Source organism: Homo sapiens, chromosome 12, assembly GCF_000001405.40.
Source record: "Homo sapiens chromosome 12, GRCh38.p14 Primary Assembly".
In the NCBI taxonomy this organism is placed as follows: Eukaryota; Metazoa; Chordata; class Mammalia; order Primates; family Hominidae; genus Homo; species Homo sapiens.
Window position 1 is genome coordinate 64528782 of NC_000012.12, and position 23363 is coordinate 64552144.

The 23363-nt window shown below is 43.9% G+C and overlaps 1 protein-coding gene and 1 long non-coding RNA gene across 3 annotated transcripts in view, besides 1 other annotated feature; one reads left to right on the forward strand and one right to left on the reverse strand.

Moving 5' to 3' along the window:
- LOC105369803 (uncharacterized) overlaps positions 1-8399 on the reverse strand; it is a 31065-nt gene extending 22666 nt beyond the window's left edge. Inside the window, exons 1-3 of the long non-coding RNA NR_188079.1 lie at positions 8165-8399; positions 6322-6533; positions 4167-4872 (exon numbers count right to left, since the gene is read on the reverse strand). This is a non-coding gene — a long non-coding RNA (uncharacterized LOC105369803). The remainder of the gene's footprint in view (positions 1-4166; positions 4873-6321; positions 6534-8164) is intronic.
- RASSF3 (Ras association domain family member 3) overlaps positions 1-23363 on the forward strand; it is a 190601-nt gene that overhangs the window by 21818 nt on the left and 145420 nt on the right. For both annotated transcript variants that reach the window (XM_047428712.1, XM_047428711.1), the window contains exon 2: positions 12800-12924. In XM_047428712.1, the coding sequence (XP_047284668.1) occupies positions 12800-12924 (125 nt within the window). The remainder of the gene's footprint in view (positions 1-12799; positions 12925-23363) is intronic.
- Positions 20822-20871: an enhancer, noted in NCBI's record as "active region_6594". NCBI's record gives its function as "activates an Ori minimal core promoter by ATAC-STARR-seq in GM12878 lymphoblastoid cells {active_cell/tissue: GM12878}" and the evidence as "EXISTENCE:reporter gene assay evidence [ECO:0000049][PMID:35858748]".

Genomic DNA, 23363 nt, shown 5'->3' on the forward strand with positions numbered 1-23363 from the left:
CCACATGCCAGGCCCCCCGCAGCTGTGACTCGCAGTGACTGATGATGCTGGAGACAGGAGTCTGCCAAGGATGACAGCAGCTGGGAGCACAAGCTTTAGCGTCAGATGGGCCTGGGTTCTAACCCTCCTCACCACTCGCAAACTTGACCTTGGGCAGGTTACTCAGCCTTTCGGAACCTCAGTTCCCTCATCTGTAACATCCTCACAGGTTGCTGAAAAAATTAAGTACTAACTAGAGAAAATGCTTAATACAACAGAGGTAGCTTTTATTTTTACTTCATGGTGCACTTCCCTAGATTGAATGATCATATGCCATGAAATGCAAGTAGCTTTTAACCACAGCTTCAATGTATTAGGAGATATGAAACTTGTTAAACAGAATACTTAGACCTTAAATGTCTTTTCTAATCATGTGAGTCCACAATTCTAAGTATCTTTAATATAAATGCAATTACTTTCCAAAAGTCAAGTCTTCAGGAAGTAAAACTGAGCACCACATTAAGCTAATTATTACTGTTTTTTAAGGGTTTAATATTGAAGATGTAGTAGATATCTGATTTTCCTTGGAGAGACATTTATGCCTTACTTGCAGCTGATCCATGAGTGGACACATACCCAAGCCTGACCAATCAGCATTTTCTAACACCTAGACATAGACATTTGCTGTAAGTCCATTCAATCAGAGCCAATCCTGGACTCTTAGGAAAGTAAGCACTCTGTCTTCTAGCTGTGGGCCTAGAGCTGCTGAGAGCCATCCTGCAACCATGAGAGAAGACTTTCCTGGCAATGGTGCCGTCAAGAGGAAAGGAGAGCAGAAAGATGTAAATAGATCAAGAATCGATGAACTTGTTTGAGTTCCTGGACCCAGCCATACCTGAATGTAGTCTATCACTATACTTATCAGTATGTGAGCCAATAAATTCCCTTATTGGCCTATCTATTGAGATAGATTTCTTATTACTTACAATCAAAATACTCTCATCAATAAAATAGGCAATATGATTTGGAAAATATTTTTGGAAAAATACAGAGAAACTTAACCAACATGTTGTTCACCCAAAGTATTACTATGACAAACAGAAGAGAGAGGTTTCAGAGGACTCAGTCATCATATTTTGTGACAATCGAGCTTGGTGAGAGATTTTCTTGCTAGTACTATGCTTTTATTCTGCTAACTGAGACCCTGCAAACTTTTCTACCAACCTACTCCCATCTCAGAAGAGCTTGACTTTGTAACCCCGGAAGTCATCACATGAAGATAATGAACAAATCCATCACTCCAAAAGTGTCCCCAGGTCCCTTTGTAATCCTTCTTGTTCACTCCTCCATCCCTCTCACCTCTAAGTAACCTCTGATCTGCTTTCTGTCATTATAGATTAGTTTGCATCTTTTGGGGCATTATATAAATGGAATGATATAATATATATTCTTTTTTGTCTGGCTTCTTTCACTCAGTATAATTATCCATATTGCATGTGCATCAATAATTCATTTTTAATTGCTGAATAGTATTCCAGTGCACAACAATTTTTTTTTTTTTCCATAGAGACATGGTCTCACCATGCTGCCTAGGCTGGTCTTGAACTCCTGGGCTCAAGCAATCCACCCGCCTCAGCCTCCCAAAGTGCTGGGATTACATATGTGAGCCACCGTGCCTGGCCCATTGCACAACAATTTATCTATTTTCCTGTTGATGGACATTTGAGTTGTTTCCACTTTTAGGTTATTGAAAATAAAGCTACTATAAATATTTGTGTACAAGTCTTTGTATGGGCATATGCTTTCCATTCTCTTGGTTAAATATGTAGGAGTAGAATGGCTGTGTCATATGGTAGATGTATATTTAACTTTTTAACAAACCGTTTTTCCAAAGTAGTTGTATCACTTTACATTCTCACCCGCAGCCTGTAAGAAAAAGTTCCAGTTGCTCCACATCCTCACCAAAATGTGGTATTGTCACATCTTCATTTCAGCCATTCCAATAGGTGTGTGGTAGCATCTCACTGTGGTTTGAATTTGCATTTCTCTAGTGACTAATAATATTGAGCATCTTTTCATGTACTTGTTTGCCATCTGTATGTCTTTTTTTGTGAAGTCTGTTTATGTATTTTGCCCATTTGTTAAGTAGGTTACTTGGTTTCTAATTAAGTTTTTAGATTCTTTATATATTCCTATATCAGACATGTGATTTGCAAATATTTACTTTCAGTCTCTCGTCTTTTCCTTCTCTTAATTGTATCTTTTGACGAGTAGTTCCTAATTTTGATGAAGTCAAGCTTATCAATTTTTTCTTCTATGAATTGTGCTTTTGTCATCTTACCTGGAAAATCTTTCCCTAACCCAAAGTCACAATGATTCCCTCCTATGTTTTCTTCTAGAAATTGTATAGCTTTAGGTTTTACATTTAGCCTTACGATCTACTTTGAATTAATTCTTATGTATGGTGCAAGGTATGGATCAAAGTTGATTAAATAATATGCAAAAAAGATATGAATATCTAATTGTCCCAGCACCATTTTTCAGGGGATTGTCCTTTTTCCACTGAAGTACCTTTTTACCTTTATTGAAAATCAGTTGACCAAGTATGTGTGAGTTTATTTCTGAACTCTCTAGTCTACCTGAACATTGCTTTTTAATTTTTTTATTATGGCAAAAATATATATAACATAAAATTTGCCATGTTAGCCACTCTTAATTTTACAATTCAGTGGCATTAATGTTAATCACAGTGTTGTGCAACCATCACCACTATTTTTTCCAAAATGAACATTTTTTTAACCTCACTTTTTTCTTTAAAAATCTTGGGAACTTTGAATTGTATTCCATAATAACTCCCAGTTTTGTTTTAATATAAAAAATAATGTTGCCTTTCTAGAAAGATGAGCTATGTTTAGCCTGTAGCTTTGTGTGATTCCACGGCCTCCCTCCTTCCCTCGGGTGTGTAAACACCCATTTCAGAACCTCAAAAGAAAGCAGAGAATTTACAGGGACCTTAGAGGTCTTCTAGGAACGCCCCTTTGTTTTAGAGATGTGAAAAGTGAGAACCCAGATCACAGGGCTGGTAAGTGACAGAGCCAGCTGAGAAATAAGAAATGCTATTTTGGGGCTGCTGAAGGGTTTGCACCCAATCCTGATGGCCTCCCCTCTACGTGATCTGGCTTTGGTGAAATCAACTCTCCTCTGCCTCAGGACACCAGAAAAGTAAAGTAATGCAATCTTCCTTAGAGGGTTTCACCAAGGGGTAAAAATGCCTCATAGTCAACAGAAGTGGGAGATCAGGGAGAGAAAAGGACAGCTACCCGCAGATTTCTAACCATTAAAAAGGCAGCCATTTGGGAGAGAGCGCTTCGAAAGAGCTTGAGCACAAGTCAACGGCAACACTGAGCAGCTCTGCCCCCTCTCAGGATGGATTGCCGACTGCGAGTTCAAATAGAAAACAGCCCTATTTACAGGCCTGGTTGAAGAATGCTGCTGAGCAGCCTCTCCTCTCCTCTTAATTCTTGACTATTATTATAGTGGGCCTTTCCCTCCAAACACTGGGAATTGTGATCTAACCTATCATGTGAAGTGGAGTTTCCTAGTATTCTTGGAAATATTTAGAAAGCAGTACCCTAATCAATCAGCAGTCCTGCTCATAAATGCAAATTTTCTGAACAAGAAACATCGAGAGATTCTTTCAATGGCTCACCCTTTCAGAGCACTTACTATGGTGCTGAGTAACATTCTAAGCACTTTTCATACTTATCGCAACTCAGTGAGGGCTAGATGTGGTGGCTTATGTCTGTAATTCCAGCACTATGGGAGGCCGAGGTGGGAGGACTGCTTAAGTCCAGGGGTTCAAGACCAGCCTGGGCAACATAGGGAGACCCGATTTCTACCAAAAAAAAAAAAATTTTTTTTTTAAATTAGGCAGGCGTGGCGACACTTGCCTATGTTCCCAGCTACTTGGGAGGCTGAGGTAGGAGGAGTGCTTTAGCTAGGAGATCAAGATTGCAGTGAGCCGAGTCATGCCACTCTACTCCAGCCTGGGCAACAGAGGGAGACCCTATCTCAAAAACAACAGCATCAGCAAACTCAGTGAGATGGGAACTATTATTTTCCTCATTTTAGAGAAGAAATGGAAGCACAGAGAGGTTAAATACATTGCCAAAGGTCACACAGCTCACCTAAAGTGTCTGGGTCCAGAGGCCTTAACCACCTCCACAGGCACCTCCAATCAACACTGCCGTCTCAGAGACGCTCCCTCAGCCTCTTCTAATTTGACTTACAGACACAGGTGTGAACACTTGACGGTCCCTGTGAGCAGAGCTGCTGAGCATGCTGGTGACCACTTGGAAAAATACATGAAGCCAGGGAGTGAAGAGAGGCCGAGGGCCTGCTCCCTGGTGGGCTCTGAGTCACGCAGGTCAGCCAGGCCTGGCCGGCTCAGCCTGTTACCATCAGCTGTCTCTCTGTACTCTGCTGCACAGCAGGGCCGGGCTCGAAGATGGGAACTGCGATTTATAAGCTCTCGGGCAAAATCAACTTTCAGGTGAAGAAAACTCACATACCTGGTAGGTTACCCTTGCTTCGGATGGTCTGAGGCCACCAGGGCTGCTGGACAGAATAAGTCCCCATGTCGGTTCAATTGTTTGTGCCTTTGATGTTACAGAAAGACCCCGCTGGCTTTCAGGGCTAGGGATGAATCCTTCAGCCAGGCCCGCTGTTTTGGTTTCTTGTCATCTGAGTTCATTAATAAGCCATTTCACAACTTAAGTTTTATTTCTTGTAGGCAAACGTGCTTTCAAATGTTGCATGAGTTAAACAAAAGATGAAGACAACAGGGTTCTGCAGCTTCTTTCTATTACCGGACAGCTCAGGAGGTTTCATTTTCTGTAACAGATGTAACATTAACTCCAGCGTTATTTTGACCAGTTATAAATATAAAGGACAAGTGTTTTGCAGTTCAGATTCTTCCTAAAAAGACTCAAGAACTTTCAGGCTAAAGCCATGGCTCCCAGGTCTTTCTCAGGAAGCAACAGAAAATGCATGCAGGCTTGCAGTCCTGGAAGGAGAATTGTGGGAGGTGCCCAGGTAACAGCAGTGCACCTATAAAATGCTTGGTAGAGCTTGGGGCTTCCTGCGGCTTCGGGAAATGGGTAGATCTTTATTATTAACAAAATCTAAGTAAAGCTTTAACAGAAATTAAATATCAAGGCGGGACAATGTGGCTCATGCCTGTAATCCTAGCACTTTGGGAGGCCAAGGTAGGAGGATTGCTTGAGCCCAGGAGTTTGAGACCAGCCTGGGGAACATAGCAAGACCCCATCTCTAAAAAAATTTTGTTTTAATTAGCTGGGTGTGGTGGTGGGCACCTGTAGTCTCAGCCACTTGGAAGACTGAGGCAGGAAGATTGCTTGAGCCCAGGAGTTCAAGACTGTGGTGAGCTATCATTGCACCACTGCACAACCAGCCTGGGCAACAGAGCAAAACTCTGTCTCTAAAAATATAAAAGAAAAGACAGCCTGGGCAACATAGGGAGACCCCATTTCTACAACAACGACACTAACAACAATAACAAAAAACTAGCCAGTCATGGTGGTGTGTGCTTAAGGTCCCAGCTACTCGGGAGGCTGAGGTGAGAAGATCGCTTGAGCCCAGGAATTTGAGGCTGCAGTGAGCTATGATCGTGCCACTGCACTCTAGCCTGGGTAACAGAGTGAGATACTGTCTCAAAAATAAAATAGAATAATAAAATAAATCAAATATTAAGTAAAAGAGGGGATTTCCCACTTTACTCTCACCAGTGGCTGATAAATGAGCAACCCCAAGGCTAGTAAGGACCTCTGCAAGGCTGGTAGTAGGAAGGAGGAAGCTCACAAGGAGCAGGTATATGTGTGTGTATGAGAGAGAAAGAGAGAATAGAGAGACAGAGAGAGACAATGGTATTTTTAGGGTGGGAAGGGGTGGAATGGACTTGGAGAGGAATTCTACCTGATCTTAAGCCATGACCTGCTTGTTTGTGGATAGCGAGATGCCTGTCTTCATGCTAAGCTATGGAAAATGTTGCCAGGCTGTGTGTTTGCCACGTGACCATCTTACTACCATTATCTAGAGGCTCTTACAACACCAGTAAGTAGTTGTATTTCTAGAATAGCTTGCCTTGTAGTAAGGCATAGCATTACCATATTTCCTCATCTCTAAGGCACCATCTATTGTGACGTACACCGTCATTTTATGTACCACTAAGGAAAATGCTGTCAATTTCAGCATGCTGTGTCATTGATGATAAAATGTATGTTCATTTCAGAGACGTTTATATGAAAAAAAAAAGGAAAGTACCTTTTAATATAGATGAAATTCAATAGATGGCAGTCCAAAGTTCCTTTGAGTCTTATGAGTCAGTGCTAATCCTGCAAATCGGTGGTCCATATAAGAGCATTCCATTCTATTAAAATTACATTTATGGCCAAGCACTGTGGCTCATGCCAGGAGTTCAGGGCTGCAATCATGCCACTGCACTCCAGCTTAGTTGATGGAGTGAGACTCTGTCTCTAAAAAAAAAAACAAAATAAACAACATTTACAATAAGGGATAAATAGCTCCCCTTTTTTCTTTTTTGGAGACACAGTCTTGCTGTGTTGCCCAGGCTGGAGTGCAGTGGTGCAATCATGGCACACTGCAGCCTCAACTTCCCAGGCTCAAGTGATCCTCCCACCTCAGCCTCCTGAGTAGCTGAAACTACAGGCACACGCCACCACATCAGCTAATTTTTTGTATTTTTTTGTAGAGACAGGGTCCCTCCATGTTGCCCAAGCTGGTCTCGAACTCCTGGGCTCAAGCAATCCTCTCACCTTGACCTCCCAAAGTGCTGGGATTACAGGCATGAGGAGCCACTGTGTCTGGACATGCATAGGTTTTGTTTTCACTTTTTTTTTTTTTTTTAGACGGAGTTTTGCTCTTATTGCCCAGGCTGGAGTGCAATGGCATGATCTTGGGTCACTGCAACCTTTGCCTTCCGGGTTCCAGTGATTCTCCTGCCCCAGCCTCCCGAGTAGCTGGGATTACAGGCATGCACCACCACACCCACCTAATTTTGTATTTTTAGTAGAGACAGGGTTTCTCCATGTTGGTCAAGCTGGTCTCAAACTCCCAGCTTCAGGTGATCCGCCCACCCTGGCCTCCTAAAGTGCTGGGATTACAGGTGTGAACCACCGCACCCAGCCTGTTTTCACTTTTTTTTTTTTTTTTTTTTTGAGACGGAGTCTTGCTCTGTTGCCCAGGCTGGAGTGCAGTGGCACAATCTCAGCTCACTGCAAGCTCCGCCTCCTGGGTTCACGCCATTCCCCTGCCTCAGCTACCCGAGTAGCTGGGACTATAGGCACCCACCACCATGCCCAGCTAGTTTTTTTGTATTTTTAGTAGAGATGGGGTTTCACCTTAGTAGTGACTTGTTAGCCAGGATGGTCTCGATCTCCTGACCTCGTGATCTGCCCGCCTCGGCCTCCCAAAGTGCTGGGATTACAGGCATGAACCACCGTGCCCAGCCTGTTTTCACTTTTTTAAAGTAGGTTTTTAATGGAAGAAAATAGTGGGTCTGCTGTAGGCTGATATTGTAGAGATAAAAGTTAAAAATAATTATGATGGAGAAACAAAAATGCATCAAAAGAATAAATGTTTCCTGTGTTGTTAGTGAATTCCCTCTTAGAATACTGTTGACCAGCACACAGCTCTCTAATTCAATTTGTCTGTGTTGGTTTTATTATCACATAGACACACATAAATAATAACATAATAACTTTATTCTATTTCTCAAATAAGAAAGGAGAGCCTTGGGACTTAAAAAAAATGGTGCATAGTCTTCAAAGGAGAAGCACATGGAATAAGGAATTGAAATGAATCATATATCCCATTCTATTTTGAATTTAAATAAGGAATTATATAGGATTTCAGTTCTAGTTCCATTTTGGGTAGAAAACAGAAGATGAGCAGGCAGGTGAGGGATTCAGTGCCCTTTTCCCTTCAATATCATGTCTATGTTTTACTGAATAATAAAATACATAGCTGGTGGTCACATCTCTGTTCTTTGCAGGCAAGATCCAGTCCTATTACTCCATCCACTGCCTGGCAGAACAGAGTTAAACTTCTTGAAGAAATGGCCTACGCCTAAAACCCACTCCCTTACCTCTCATTTACTTCAAGGCGAGGTCTCTTTGCCCCTAGACTTCCTGACGGCCACATCTCCTGTGCTGGATTCCGTGCTCATCTTCTTGACTTCTCTACGGCACATCACATTGCTGACCAATTGTTTTCTTGAAGCCTTCTTGGATTTTGACTTCCTTACCCCACACTCTTGCCTATTTCTCCCCCTATCTCTCTGACTTTTCCTTCTCAGTCTCCCTCAATGCTCACCTTCCTCTGAGCACCTCTTCAGAAGCAGTATTCTCTCCTTGCCCTAGTTCTTACTAAAATAGAAATAGCTGCCACTTTGTGTAAACTCCAACTCTGGAACATTCTAGAACTTAACGTGGTACATCATTTAAAGCTCCTAAGACCCCGTGAGGCCCCTGCTATCCCCTCTGTCTCACAAACAGTAAGTTGAGGTTCTGAGTAGGATAGTAATGGGTGCAAAGTCTCACAGCTAAAAAGAGGTAGAGATAGAATTCAAAGCCAGTGTGTCTGACACACAAACTGTGCTCTTTCCAAAAATAGGTCACCCTCTCTCAGACTGCTCTCAGTCACACCCTTGACTTCCCATACAACTTAATAAGCTAAACAACTCCCAATCTCCCAACCCCATCTCAGCTCTCCCTCCTGAAGACTCACACGTCCAACTTCTTACTCAACATCTCTGCTCAGTTCCATTGGCATCTGAAGCTTAAACTGCCCAGAACTCAATCTTTACCCAGAACTCAATCAGTGTCTTTACCTTGAGAAAGGTGACCTGGAAGTCATTTTAGAGTCCTCTCTTCCCATATCAAAATCCTGACAATACTAGCTGTCTTTGTTTTCTAAGGCTGCCATAACAAAATACCACAGACTGAGTTGTTTAAACAACAGAAAATCATCTTCTCCTAGTTCTGGAGTCTGGAAATCCAAAATCAACATGTCTGCAGGTTTGGTGTCTTCTGAGACCTTTCCTCTTGGCTTACAGATGGCCACCTTCTTGCTGCATCCTCACATGGCCTCCTCTTCGTCTTGGCCTGTGTGTCGTCTATGTCCTACTCGCCTCCTCTTTTTTTTTTTTTGAGACAAGATCACTCCGTCACCCAGGCTGGAGTACAGTGGCATAATCACAGCTCACAGCAGCCTCAATCTCCCAGGCTCAAGCAATCCTCCCACCTCAGCCTCCCAAGTAGCTGGGACTACAGGTGCGTGACCTCATGCTAAGCTAATATTTTTCTATTTTTTGTAGAGATGGGATCCCTCCCTATGTTGCCCAGGCTGGTCTCAAACTCCTGGCCTCAAGTCATTCTCCCATGTCAGCTTCCCACAGGGTTGAGATTGCAGGCATGAGCCGCTGTGCCTGGCCTTAGTTTCCTCTTCCTGTAAGAGCACTAGTCATATTGGATTAGGGCCCATCCACATGACCTCATTACATCTTAACTACCTCTTTAAATGCCCTGTCTCCAAATACAGTCACATGTTGATGTACGAGTGGTTAGGACTTCAACATCTGAAATTTGGAGGCACACGACTCAGCCCATAACACTAGTTTTTAGGCATCTTTCAAATTTGACTTTCCATCTTCAGCTCTAATTGCCACCCTTTTAGTTGAGAACTGTGCCATTTCTTACAATTATAATATTCTCATCATCATGACTATTATGCTTTATAAATAATATTGTTCTGATTATAAAATAATTACATGAGCTCTGTAGAAAACACACAAAAAAAAACACAAATAAAACATAAAATCTCTGTAATCTCAACAACCAAACAGAATTGATCATTGGCATATATCCTTATCTTTTTTCTATGTATATATTTTTAAAAATTGGGGCCGGGTGCCATGGCTCATGCCTGTAATCCTAGCACTTTGGGAGGCTGAGACGGGAGGATCACTTGAAGTCAGGAGTTTGAGACCAGCCTGGGCCAACGGTGAAACTCCATCTCTACTAAAAAATACCAAAAAATTAGCCAGGCCTGGTGGTGCATGCCTATAATCCCTGCTACTCAAGAGGCTGAGTCAGGAGAATCACTTGAACCTGGGAGGTGGAGGTTGCAGTGAGCCGACATCATGCCACTGCACTCCAGCCTGGGTGACAGAATGAGACTCCATCTCAATAAAAATAAAAATTGGAATTGTCTTAGTATGTTTTGCATTGCTATAACAGAATACCACAGAAAGAGTAATTTAAAAATAAAAGGAATTTATTTCTTACAGTTCTTCAAGCTGGTAAGTTCTAGGTCAAGGGGCATCTGGTGAAGCCCTTCTTGCTGCATCATAACATGGCAGAGGGCATCACATGGCAAGGGGGCAGGAGCATGTGTGTGAGCTCAGGTGTCTCTTACTCTTCTTATAAAGCCACCGGTCTCATCATGGGGGCCCTACCCTGATGGCCTCATCTAATCCTAATTAATTCCCAAAGGCCTTACCTTCAAATACTATCAACGCATGAATTTGGGAATTAAGTTTCCAACACATGAAATTTGGGGGACACATTCAAACCATAGCAGAATCATAACATATCTTCTCTTTTGTAATTTGATTGTTCTCATGAACAATTTCTTGCCTGGGTGCGGTGGCTTATATCTGTAGTCCCAGCACCTTGGGAGGCCAAGGGGGCGGATCACTTGAGCCCAGGAGTTCAAGACCAGCCTAGGCAACATGGTGAAACCCCATCTCTACAAAAAATACAAAAATTAGGCAAGCATGGTAGTATATGCCTGTAGTCACAGCTACTTCAGAGGCTGAGGTGGGAGGACTGCTTAAACCCAGATGGTTGAGGCTGCAGCAAGCTGTGATTGCCCACTGCACTCCACCCTGGGCAATAGAGTGAGACCTTGTCTCAAAAGAAAAAAAAAATTTCTCATACCATTAAATATTATTATTCTCCAACATTATTTACTGATCACAATATTCCATCATACAGATAGACCAATAATAAACTTATTATTAAATCAGTTAATATACTTTATTATTAAATCTGTTAATATAGTCTATCTGTATGATAGAATATTGTGGACATGTGGGTTTCAGGCAGTCCCATCACTCATAGCCCATAGAATGGTCTTTTTATCTCGATGGCTTACATACGTATCTTCAGAGAACTGAGTTCAGATTCATTCATTGCCATTGCTTCTCTCCTTACTGCCTGTTTTATCTGAAGCTTAACCCTGTGTTATAATTTTAGAAACAATGAGATAGTTGGCAGGCTAATGGCTTCATTTTAAGTAGTATCTGATGTGAAGTTTACAACTGAAGCCAATTGGAGTTCTTTCTTAAGACGGCTCCTTAAAAATTTCATTATGTTAGACCTGTCTTCAGTGGGTTACATTACCAGACTCTTGATGAGAGAAATCTATTTGCTGGTGAATAAAATTGTGGCAGCTCTTATTTATGTGTCTTAATGTGGCTAAGGTAAATGTTTTAAAAATACTTACTTTGGAAACAGTTTGATAGTTCCTCAAAAAGTTAAACTTAGAATTACTATATGACCCAGCAATCCTACTCCAAGGTATATATCCAAGAAAATGGAAAACATTATGTACACAGGAAAACTTGTCCATGAATGTTTGGCTATTATTTATAACAGCCAAAGAGGGGAAACAGCCTAAATGGCCATCAACAGATAAAAGAATAAACAAAATGTGTTACATTCATATAAAGGAATATTATTCAGCTGTAAAAAGAAATGAAGAACTGATATATGCTACAACATGTATGAATTTTGAATATTTGATAGGTGAGGCTGTGCTGGTGTTTTATGCCTGTAATCTCAACACTTTGGGAGGCCAAGTCAGGAGGATCGCTTGAGCCTAGGAGGTCAAGACTGCAGTAAGCTATGATTGCATCACTGCGTTTGGTGACAGGGTCTCAGTCTGTTGCCCAGGCTGGAGTGCAGTGGTTGAACAAAGCTCACTGCAGCCTCGACCTTCTGGGCTCAAGCAATCCTCTCAACTCAACCTCCCAAGTAGCTGGGACTACAGGTGTGTGCCACCACACCTGGCAAATTTTTGTATTTTTTTTGTAGAGATAGGGTCTTGCCATGTTGCCCAGGCTGGAATTTTTTTTTTTTCTAAGTAAGGCCAGTGTGGTGGCTCATGCCTGTAATCCTAGCACTTTGGGATTACACTTGGGAACCTCCACCTCCCAGGTTCAAGGGATTCTCCTGCCTCAGCCTCCCAAGTAGCTGGGACTATAGGCACCCACCACCACATCTGGCTGATTTTTGTATTTTTAACAGAGATGGGGTTTCGCCATGTTGCCCAGGCTGGTATTGAACTCCTGGGCTCAATAGATCCGCCCGCCTTGCCCTCCCAAAGTGCTGGGATTACAGGCATGAGCCACAGCGCCCGGCCAATGTTGTCTTAATTTAAACCTTGCAAAAAGAAAAAAAATGTATCGTAGCCTAATCTCCTGTCTTTGTGAAAGATATTCAGTGATAGTGTGATTGAATTTCAGAGGAGGCCAAGATAGTCTAGGTTAAATGGCTCTGCCTTGTGAACAGATGGGCCCCACACAAACTCATTTTTATTATTCCAGGTTGAATGCTGGCTTTTTGAGCAGGGGAGGGGGTTCAATTTCCCTTGGCCTGTTGGATGAACAGAGAACGACACAGACCTAACTGGGAACCTAACGTGCTTTCTCTTTCAGAGGGTAAATATATATGTCATGCTCACTGCCGAGACCTGGTACATCTGGATTATCCACAAAATGGGAACGTATCAAGCTGCATGCCGACTTCTGAAGTAAGATATTCAATCAAAAAGAACAGTCAGGTAGGCACTATTGGTGCTTGTGGACATCGTGCGTTTCGGTCACTCCCATCACTCATACCCCATAGAATGGTCTTTTTATCTCCATGGCTTACGTATGTATCTTCAGAGGATCGAGCTCAGGTTCATTCATTGCCATTGCTTCTCTCCTTGCCGCCTGTTGCATCTGAAGCTTAATCTTGGGTTATAATTTTAGAAACAATAAGATAGAGTATATCAGTAGTTTTATCCAACAGATTTGTCATAAGATATGAGGCTTTCATCTGCTTGATTACTTGCCACATTCAGGATGCAATCTTGTTAACAGACATACTTCCTGCTGCGGAAAATAGGACATGAACTGTAAATGTGTGTTGACTTTTTTTTTAATCCGATGAAGAGCCTCAGCGTGAGTCTGAGACCAACCTGGGCAACATGGTGAGACCCGCATCTCTACAAAAAATAAAAATAAAAATAAAAATAAATTAGCTGGGTGTGGTGGCATGTGCCTGTGGTTCCAGCTACTCACCCAGCCACTCAAGAGGCTGAGGCAGGAGGATCACATAAGCCCCAGAGGTGGAGGTTGCATTAAGCTGAGATTCTGCCACTGTACTCCATCCAGCCTAAGTGACAGAGTAAGATCCCACCTCAAAAAAACAAAACAAAAGAACCTGAGCATGAACACTGTGCTGGGGAAATCTGTCAGGTTTTACTGGTTAAAGCAAAGATCTTCAACTGGTAGAACTAGTAGATCCTCAACCTGGTTTCAGCCAGCACATCCATTCTCACTCTATTCTCCTGGTTTGCTGAGAGACCAGAAGGGAAGGGGTACAGCTGGCAGTGATGCCTGCTCCTCTGCAGACTCAACTATAGCATCCCCTCTCCTGACACATCAAGGTTCTTCTTAAAAGATAGGCTATTTTTTCGGCCAAGCACAGTGACTCATGCCTGTAATCCCAACACTTTGGGAGGCCGAGGTGGGTGGATTGCTTAAGGCCAGGAATTCAAGACCAGCCTGAGCAACATGGCAAAACCTCATCTCTACAAAAACTACAAAAATTAATAGGGCATGGTGGTGAGAGGTGACAGCATGCTGGCAGCCCTCGCTCGCTCTTGGCGCCTCCTCGGCCTCGGTGCCCACTCTGGCCCCACTTGAAGAGCCCTTCAGCCCGCCGCTGCACTGTGGGAGCCCCTTCCTGGGATGGCCGAGGCCGGAGGCGGCTCCCTCAGTCTGCAGGGAGGTGTGGAGGGAGAGGCACGGGCGGGAACCGGGGCTGCGCGCCAGCTAGATAGAGTTCCGGGTGGGCGTGGGCTTGGCGGGGCCCCGCACTTGGAGTGGCGGGCCCCGCACTTGGAGTGGCGGGCCCCGCACTTGGAGTGGCGGGCCCCGCACTTGGAGTGGCGGGCCCCGCACTTGGAGTGGCGGGCCCCGCACTTGGAGTGGCGGGCCCCGCACTTGGAGTGGCGGGCCCCGCACTTGGAGTGGCGGGCCCCGCACTTGGAGTGGCGGGCCCCGCACTTGGAGTGGCGGGCCCCGCACTTGGAGTGGCCGGCCGGCGCCGCCCGCCCAGGCAGTGAGGGGCTTAGCACCCGGGCTAGCAGCTGCGGAGGGTGCTTTGGGTCCCACAGCAGTGCCGGCCCACCAGCGCTGCGCTCGATTTCTCGCCGGGCCTTAGCTGCCTCCCCACGGGGCAGGGCTCGGGACCTGCAGCCAGCCATGCCTGAGTTTCCCGCCCCCCGGCTCCCCGCCCGCCCCCCCCGTGCCCGCCCGCCCCCCGCTCCCCACCCGCCTGCCCACCCCCCACTCCCCCACTCCCCCACACCCTCCCCCCGCCGCCCCCCGCTCTCCCCCGCCCCCCGCCGTGGGCTCCTGCACGGCCCGAGCCTCCCCGACAAGCCCCACCCCCTGTTCCATGGCACCCGGTCCCATCCACTGCCCAAGGGCTGAGGAGTGCGGGCGCACGGCGCGGGACTGGCAGGTGGCTCCGCCTGCGCCCCTAGTGCGCGATCCACTGGGTGAAGCCTGCTGGGCTCCTGAGTCTAGTGAGGACTTGGAGAACCTTTATGTCTAGCTAAGGGATTGTGAATACACTAATTGGCTCTCAGTATCTAGCTCAAGGTTTGTAAATGCACCAATCAGCACTCTGGGTCTAGCTCAGGCTTTGTAAATACACCAATCAGCACTCTGTACCTAGCTAATCTAGTGGGGACATGGAGAACTTTTGTGTCTATCTCAGGGATTGTAAACGCACCAATCAGCAGCCTCTCAAAACGGACCAATCAGCTCTCTGTAAAACAGACCAATTGGCTCTCTGTAAAATGGACCAATCAGCAGGATGTGGGTGGGGCCAGATAAGAGAATAAAGCAGGCTGCCAGAGCACGCCTTGGCACCTCGGTGGGGGTCCCGTTCCGCACAGTTCTTTAGGTGTTTGCAATAAATCCTGGTACTGCTCACTCTTTGGGTCACACTGCGTTTATGAGCTGTAACGCCCACCGTGAAACGCTCATCGCGAAGGTCTGCAGCTTCACTCGTGAAGCCATCGAGACCACGAACCCACCGGGAGGAATGAACAACTCCAGACGCACTGCCTTAAGAGCTCTCACACTCACTTCGAAGGTCTGCAGCTTCAGTACTGTGCTAGCGAGACCACGAACCAACCAGAAGGAACAAACTTCTAACACATCAGAAGGAACAAACTCCAGACATGCTGCTTTCAAGAACTGTAATACTCACCGGGAGGGTCCGCGGGTTCATTCTTGAAGTCCCTGAGACCAAGAACCCACCAATTCCAGACACAGTGGTGCACGCCTGTGGTCCCAACTACCTGGGAGGCTGAGGTGGGAGGATCACTTGAGCTGGCAAGGTTAAGGCTGCAGTGAGCTGGGACCCGCACCACTGCCCTTAAGCCTGGGCAACAGAGTGAGACCCTGTCTCAAAAAAAAAAAAGGCTATTTTTTCAACGGTTTGGGGGCACTTGCATTAAATTATCTGAGTGTCTTGTCAGTTTCTGGGAGCTCACAGGCATGTCTGGATAGAATTACTGAAACTAGGCAGCAATATTTATCCTTCCTGCATATGGTAATGAAACTAATTTTCAGTTTAGGCCAAGAGGCTGATTCTTCACTGCCCTCTGACCAATGCTGAGTACAAAAGACCAAATACATGAGTTTGCCACTTGTTTTTCCCTAACAAAGTTAACTCTTGATCAGAACAGTAATAGCTGTTTAGAAGAGTGTGTTCAGCGTGTGTGGTTTACATATGCTAAATTCCCATTCAACTCAATTACACTTGGCAGGGACACAGAAAGCTAATGGGGAATCTGTAAAGGGCATGAACAATAGCTTTTCTGGCAGATTGATGGCTTCGTTTTATGTAGTATCTGATGTGAAGTTTACAACTGGAGCCGATTGGAGTTTGTGCAAAGTTGTACTAGCCTTTAAATTAAGAAAATGCCTTCATGTCAGGAAAAAAAGCTTGGATTGGGGATGCAGCTTGTAATTTAATAGGATGACTTGGGAGACAGCAGCGAGGATAATAGAGGTATTATGAGCAGCTCTAGGGAGAATGAATATATGCTTGTTTGGCTTGGAAAAAAATGTGGAGTTCAAGTGTAAGGTTTAAACAAATGCTTTGCAAAGTTTCTCAAAAGGTACCTGAACTACTGATACTTGAGTAACTCGCATTGTTTTCTTATATTGATTTTGAAAAAGTAATACTGAGCTCTCTGATGTGGCTCTAAAAATTTTAGAAAATGATGAAGTATTTTGATATTTAATTTATTTTAGTTCAATTCTTATAAAATTACAGAATTTAAGATTCAGAAATTGATGTCTTAGAGAGTGCCAGATTTGATTTGATAGACGGGTTTATAAAGATCACGTGAAAGGCGGCTTCCCAATGGGTTGAGCATAAAATTATTCTAGATTAGGGTGAGAATCCCCTCATTTAAGAAAGCTCCTCTTGGCGGGCCGCAATGGCTCATGCCTGTAATCCCAGCACTTCGGGAGGCCAAGCCAGGAAGATCACTGGAGCCCAGGAGTTCGAGACCAGCCTCGCAATGTAGTGAGACCTCATCTCTACAAAAAAATTTAAAATGAGGCAGGAAGATCGCTTGAGCCCTGCAGGTTGAGGCTGCAGTGAGCCATGATCACACCACTACATTCCTGCCTGGGTGACAGAGTGAGACCCTGCCTCGAAGAAAAAAGAGAGAGACCATCCTGGCTAACACAGTGAAACCCCGTCTCTACTAAAAATACAAAGAAATTAGCGGGACGTGGCAGCAGGCGCTTGTAGTCCCAGCTACTCTGGAGGCTGAGGCAGGAGAATGGCGTGAACCAGGGAGGCGAAGCTTGCAGTGAGCTGAGATTACGCCAATGCGCTCCAGCCTCCGCGACAGAGCAAGACTCCGTCTCAAAAAAAAAAAAAAAAAAAAAAAAAGAATGCCAAAAATGCCACTCCAGCACATAATTTTCTGTATATACACGCAGGTGATAATGATACGTACTTCATAAGGCATCATAAGTATTAGATTATTTCCCAAATACTTTTGCATACCCGAAGTGTGGTGCTGTAATACATTGTTTTATTTATTTATTTATTTATTTTGAGACGGAGTCTCGCTCTGTTGCCCAGGCTGAAGTGCAGTGGCGCGATCTTGGCTCACTGCAAGCTCCGCCTCCCGGGTTCATGCCATTCTCCTGCCTCAGTCTCCCAAGTAACTGGGACTACAGGCGCCTGCCACCACGCCCAGCTAGTTTTTTGTATTTTTAGTAGAGACGGGGTTTCACCATGTTAGCCAGGATGGTCTCGATCTCCTGACCTCGTGATACACCCGCCTAGGCCCCCCAAAGTGCTGGGATAAAAGGCGTGAGCCACTGCACCTGGCCAATACATTGTTTTAATAGTCTATCAAATCAGTCTACTCTTGTGAATTGATTTGATACTGCACTTAACTTTTTTTCTTATTGGCTTTAAAGGTGATGAATGATAAATGCAATGGTTCTCAAGTCATTAACAGAATTCTAAATCTTGTCAATATCTCAAGACCCAGGATTTTAGCCTTTTGGATATGTGTGTCAGCTGATTATGTAGGAGATCTCTCAACCCAATTATAATCCCCAGTGTTGTTGGCTTCAAGCACTGATAGAGCGATAAACTTCAGAAAGGTTTCAATTTGGTCCTTGAAAAGAACTATTTAAGCAGAAACTCCTAGAAGCTATAGAATTTGGCCAAGAACCACAAAAACCATTCCCTCATTCTTATTTTGCTCCCACTTTTTGATATGGAGAGGACATTGAAAGATTGTTGGGGCCAGGCATGGTGGCTCACACCTGTAATCCCAACATTTGGGAAGCCGAGGCATGTGGATTGCTTGAGCCTGGGAATTCAAGATCAGCCTGGCCAACATGGTGAACCCCGTCTCTACTAAATATTAAAAAATGAGCCAAGTGTGGTGGCACACACCTGTAATCCCTGCTACTCAGGAGACTGAGGCACGAGAATTGCTTGAACCCAGGAGGTGGAAGTTGCAGTGAGCCGAGATCACACCAGTGTACTCCAGTCTGTGTGACAGAGAGAGACTTGATCTAAAAAAAAAAAAAAAAGCCAGGCACGGTGACTCACGCCTGTAATCCCAGCACTTTGGGAGGCTGAGGCAGGCGGATCACAAGGTCAAGAGATTGAGACCATCCTGGCCAACATAATGAAACCCCCATCTCTACTAAAAATACAAAAATTAACTGGGCGTGGTGGGACACACCTGTAGTCCCAGATACTCAGGAGGCTGAGGCAGGAGAATCGCTTGAACGCAGGAGGCGGAGGTTGCAGTGAGCGGAGATCATGTCACTGCATTCCAGCCTGGCAACAGAGTGAGACTCCGTCTCAAAAAAAAGAGAAAGAAAAAAGAAGGGAAGGAAGGACGGAAGGAAGGAAGGAAGGAACTTTTCAACTATAAAATATTTTAAAACATATTTAGTTATTTGTCAGCTTTAGAGTTTGATGAAAGCTGGTATTCAGTTTCTAAATTCAATACCATGAAGAAGATGAAACTCAACTTTGATCGATTTTTCAAATCAAATTCTTCCCCCCCACAACCTTGATTCAGGATCAAATTCCTGTTGTATTGCATATATTTTTGTGATTATAAAAACAATGCATGATTATTAAAGAAACTGTGGAAAATGTAAAAAGGTTAAGAAAAACGTTAAAATTGCCTATAATCCCACCACCCAGAGAGATATAATTGCCCTTAGTATTTTAGTGTCCTTCATTCCTCTCTTTTTTCAGTGTCCATTGTCTATATGTATTTCTTCGTAAAACTGGAAATCAGTATTTGGATAGATACAGACATAGATATGTTTTCACCCTTCCTTACAATGTGACCATGTTTCCTGCCGCTCTATATTCTCTGAAAAAGTGAGCTCTAAGGTGTAATATTTATGAATCTTTCATATTGATTTAACAATTCTACTTCATATCTTTTTAAATTTTTTATTGTATTTTATTTATTTATTTTGAGACAGGGTCTCACTCTGTCGCCCAGGCTGGAGTGCAGTGGCGCAATCACAGCTCACTGCAGTCTTGATCTCCTGGGCTCAAGGGATCCTCAGCCTCCCAAGTAGCTGGGACCATGGGCAGGCACCATCATGCCCAGCTAGTTTTTTTTATTTTTATTTATTTATTTTTTTTGTAGAGAAGAGGTCTCACCATCTTGGTCAGGCTGGTCTCGAACTCCTGGGCTCAAGCTATCCTCCTGCCTTGGCCTCCCAAAGTGCCAGGATTATAGGCATGAGCCACAGCACCTGGCCAACAATTTTACTTCTTTTGGTGCATTTCTTACTGTTGAACATGAAGCTGCAACAATATCTTTGTATGAAAATCTTTTCCTACATTTCTTCTTGTTTCCTTAATACAGATTCTGAAGGAGGATTTATCGGTCAAGAGTTTTAATAGCCCTTAATACATACTGCCAACTTCTTTAATAGGAACTTCATACCAGTTTATACCCTTTCCAGCAGTTCACAAACAAACTTAGCTCACTATAAATTCATCCATAGTCTCCTGAGTAATGTATTCCACCTAAAATCTTTAAATTTTAAATCCATTTTAAAATTCAATTTTAAAGGGCTTAGTGCTTTAAGATTTGGTGGGCAGGGTGAGGGAATGATCCAGTGGTTTGATCTGTTCCAATTTTCAAATTGTCATTAGTGAAGTTAAGACTCAGAGGTTAGTAATTTTTGTAAGCCCTTGATCTGGTCTTTCTCAGAGGATGTGGACTTCACAATCAATTGTCTTCAAGGCCCTGAGAGTGGATCCTTTCCCAAGTGGGAAAGGAAAGGGAAGGTCTGAGTGAACTCCCAGAAAAGTGGGGTACGATAGCCCAACAACACTTGAATTTCTAATTGGGGTAAGGTGGGGACATAAGGGTGAAGGTGTTAGAAGAGATACTGGAAATAAGGAAAACAGTCCTAGTTATTAAAATCCCTGAGGGGTTTGACTAAATGTGGAGAGACAGACTGTTCTTCTGCCAGTTGTAGATCCTACAGAAGACCGGGTGCAGTGGTTCTGGCCTATAATCCCAACACTTTGGGGGGATCACTTGAGCCCAGAAATTTGAGAACTGCCTGGACAACATAGTGAGACCCTATCTCTAAAAAGAATTTTTAAATGTTGAAAGCTAATCAGAGGCCACAAAGTCATTCTTAAAGTCATTGTGCACTTTGCTTCCTTTGTTGTATGTTTGTTTCCTTTGTAACTGATTTACTACTTTACACACTCAGATTTTTAATTATAGCAGCAATTACTAGATTCAATGACATAAAGTTACCATTTCTGTCAGTAAAGATTCAATACCAGCTAATTTCACACAGTTCAATTTCACACCTGGGGAATTAATTATTCTTAATCATTAGGAGTCAATGGTAAAACTTTCTGATGAAAGCACCTGTAGCAAGGCCTCTACCAAGCTCCCCTCCTGTGGGGGGTGTTGACATGGCGGCCAGCAGCCAGCACAGCCTCTCTCTCCTGAGCCCCATAAGCGGAGGTAGGGATACAGTAGTTGGTGTGTTTGTGACAGCAAAGCCACCAGAGGGAGCTCTAGCATTGACTCCTATATGTTTGTCTGTGTGCCACGGATTCAAAGAAAAACAATAAATATCTAATGATTGCTTGTGTTTTTGAGCACTCCTTGCACAGTCCTAAGGTTTAGACACAATCATATCAATATCATTTCATTGTTAACATGAATTAAGCTTCTTTGTGTCTGTCAGATATTCTTTCATGCTTACCACAAGTCTATCAAGATATTATTATTCTCACTTTGATTGATGAGGGAGGTGATTAAGTTTTACAGAAATTAAGTGATTTTACAAAAGAAGAAATAACACAGAGATTTTATCTATAGTCTCAGCGCCCCCCACCCCCTTCCCACCTCCATTAAAGTTCTCCTTCCTGCCCTCTCTTTTCTCTTTTCCTACTGGGAATCTAAAGGAGATAAATCTTGCTTTAAAACTAAGGAAACAAAGAAGAATGCGTTTTATTTTGTGTAAATTATTCTTCAATATATTTAACATGTAAGGGGAAAACAAGAAAGGGAAAGGAAACGAGAAGGGGAAAGAAAGGGAGAAGAGAGAAGAGGGGAGAGGAGGAGAGGAGAGGAGAAAGAAAAGGAGAAGAGAAGAGAAAGAAAAGAAAAGAGAAATAGCCAGGCACAGTGCCCCATGCCTGTAATCCTAGCACTTTGGGAGGCCGAGGTGGGTGGATCACCTGAGGTCAGGAGTTCAAGACCAGCCTGGCCAACGTGGCGAAACCCTATCTCTACTAAAAATACAAAAATTAGCCAGGTGTGGTGGTGCACACCTGTAATCCCAGAGGCTGACGTAGGAGATTCGCTTGAACCCGGGAGGCAAGGTTGCAGTGAGCCAAGATTGTGGCACAGCACTCCAGCTTGGACAACAGAGCAAGACTCCGTCTCCAAAAAACGAAAAGAAAAAGGAGGCCAGGAGTGGTGGTGGGTGCCTGTAACCCCAGCTACTTGGAAGGCTGAAGTGGGAGAATTGCGTGAGCCCAGGAGGAGGTTGCAGTGAGCCAGGATCTAGCCACTGCAGTCCAGCCTGAGAGAGGGAGAGAGACTCCATCTCAAAAAAAAAAAAAGAAAGAAAGAAAGGAAAAAAAAAAGAGAGAAAGAGCTGATGCTCATGTCCATAAAGCCCGAAAATGTTCCAATCCTGCCGGCTCACTGCTAAGGGAATACTTCAACCCACAGCACCCCACCTCCACCCACACATTCCTTAGGCTACTGTTTCTATGACTCCTTTTCCCTCCTCAAGCTTGCCCGAGATGGCTGTTTGATCTTGGTTTCACCCTTATTCAAATTCAGAAGTAGGGGCAGAGACCAGAGGAAGATGTTAGGAATATCCATAACCCCCAAAGATGGCCACTAGACTTACTTCTACAGCACTTTACAGTACCAGACATGTACAAAGTACCTATGCACAGATTAAGAGCAAGGACGGTCAAGGTATACAGCCGCATATTTGCTGAATGGACTTAGTTAAGTCACTTAATCTCATCCATAAAATGTATGTAATAGGCGGGCACTATAACATGCAAAATGTATTTAATAGGCTCACTCCTGTAATCCCAGCACTTTGGGAGGCTGAGGCGAGTGGATCACTTGAGCCCAGGAGTTTGAGACCAGGCTGGGCAACATGGCAAAACCCTGGCTCTACAAAAAATGCCAAAAATTAGCCGGGCATGGTGGTGCGCGCCTGTAGTCCCAGCTACTTAGGAGGCTGAGGTGGGACGATCACTTGAACCTGGGAGGTTGAGGCTGCAGTGAGCCATGATCATGCCACTGCACTCCAATCTGGGAGACAGAGTAAGACCCTGTCTCAAAAATAATATGCATGTAGTAAATGTAATCATGTCTACTACTTAGCATTGCTGTGGAGATTTAATTAGGCAATGCATAGAAAAGTACTTAGCCTGGTGTTTGGTGGGAAACTTCAATTAATGTTAACTAATATTATTGTTTTCTTTAATACTCACAACAATCGTATTTGTCCATTTAGCCTAGAACTTGGCATAGACACATGGTTTGTAAGCGTGTTTGTGGTTAACAGCAGTCTTCAGTTAAAGAGAGGCGAACCAACTTGCCAAAGGTCCACAGCTAGTTTTACAACTACGAAATGTTTTCCAAAATATTTTCAGTTTTTCTGTGAGACTGAGAGATATTATCTTCAAATAGATTACGAGATGTGCACAGCAACGTCCACCCGCCTTACACAAGAGCAAACAGCTTTCCAAAAGCCATCAGAAAACCCCTGGGGTTTGTTGGTCCAAGAACAGAAACAATGCAGTCACACCCAGACCCTAAATTTAGGGGGGCCTTAGAGTTAGTTTTATTTAAATATTGTAATGTGACTCTGAGCAAGCAACATTTTCTCTGTGCTTTGTTTTTTA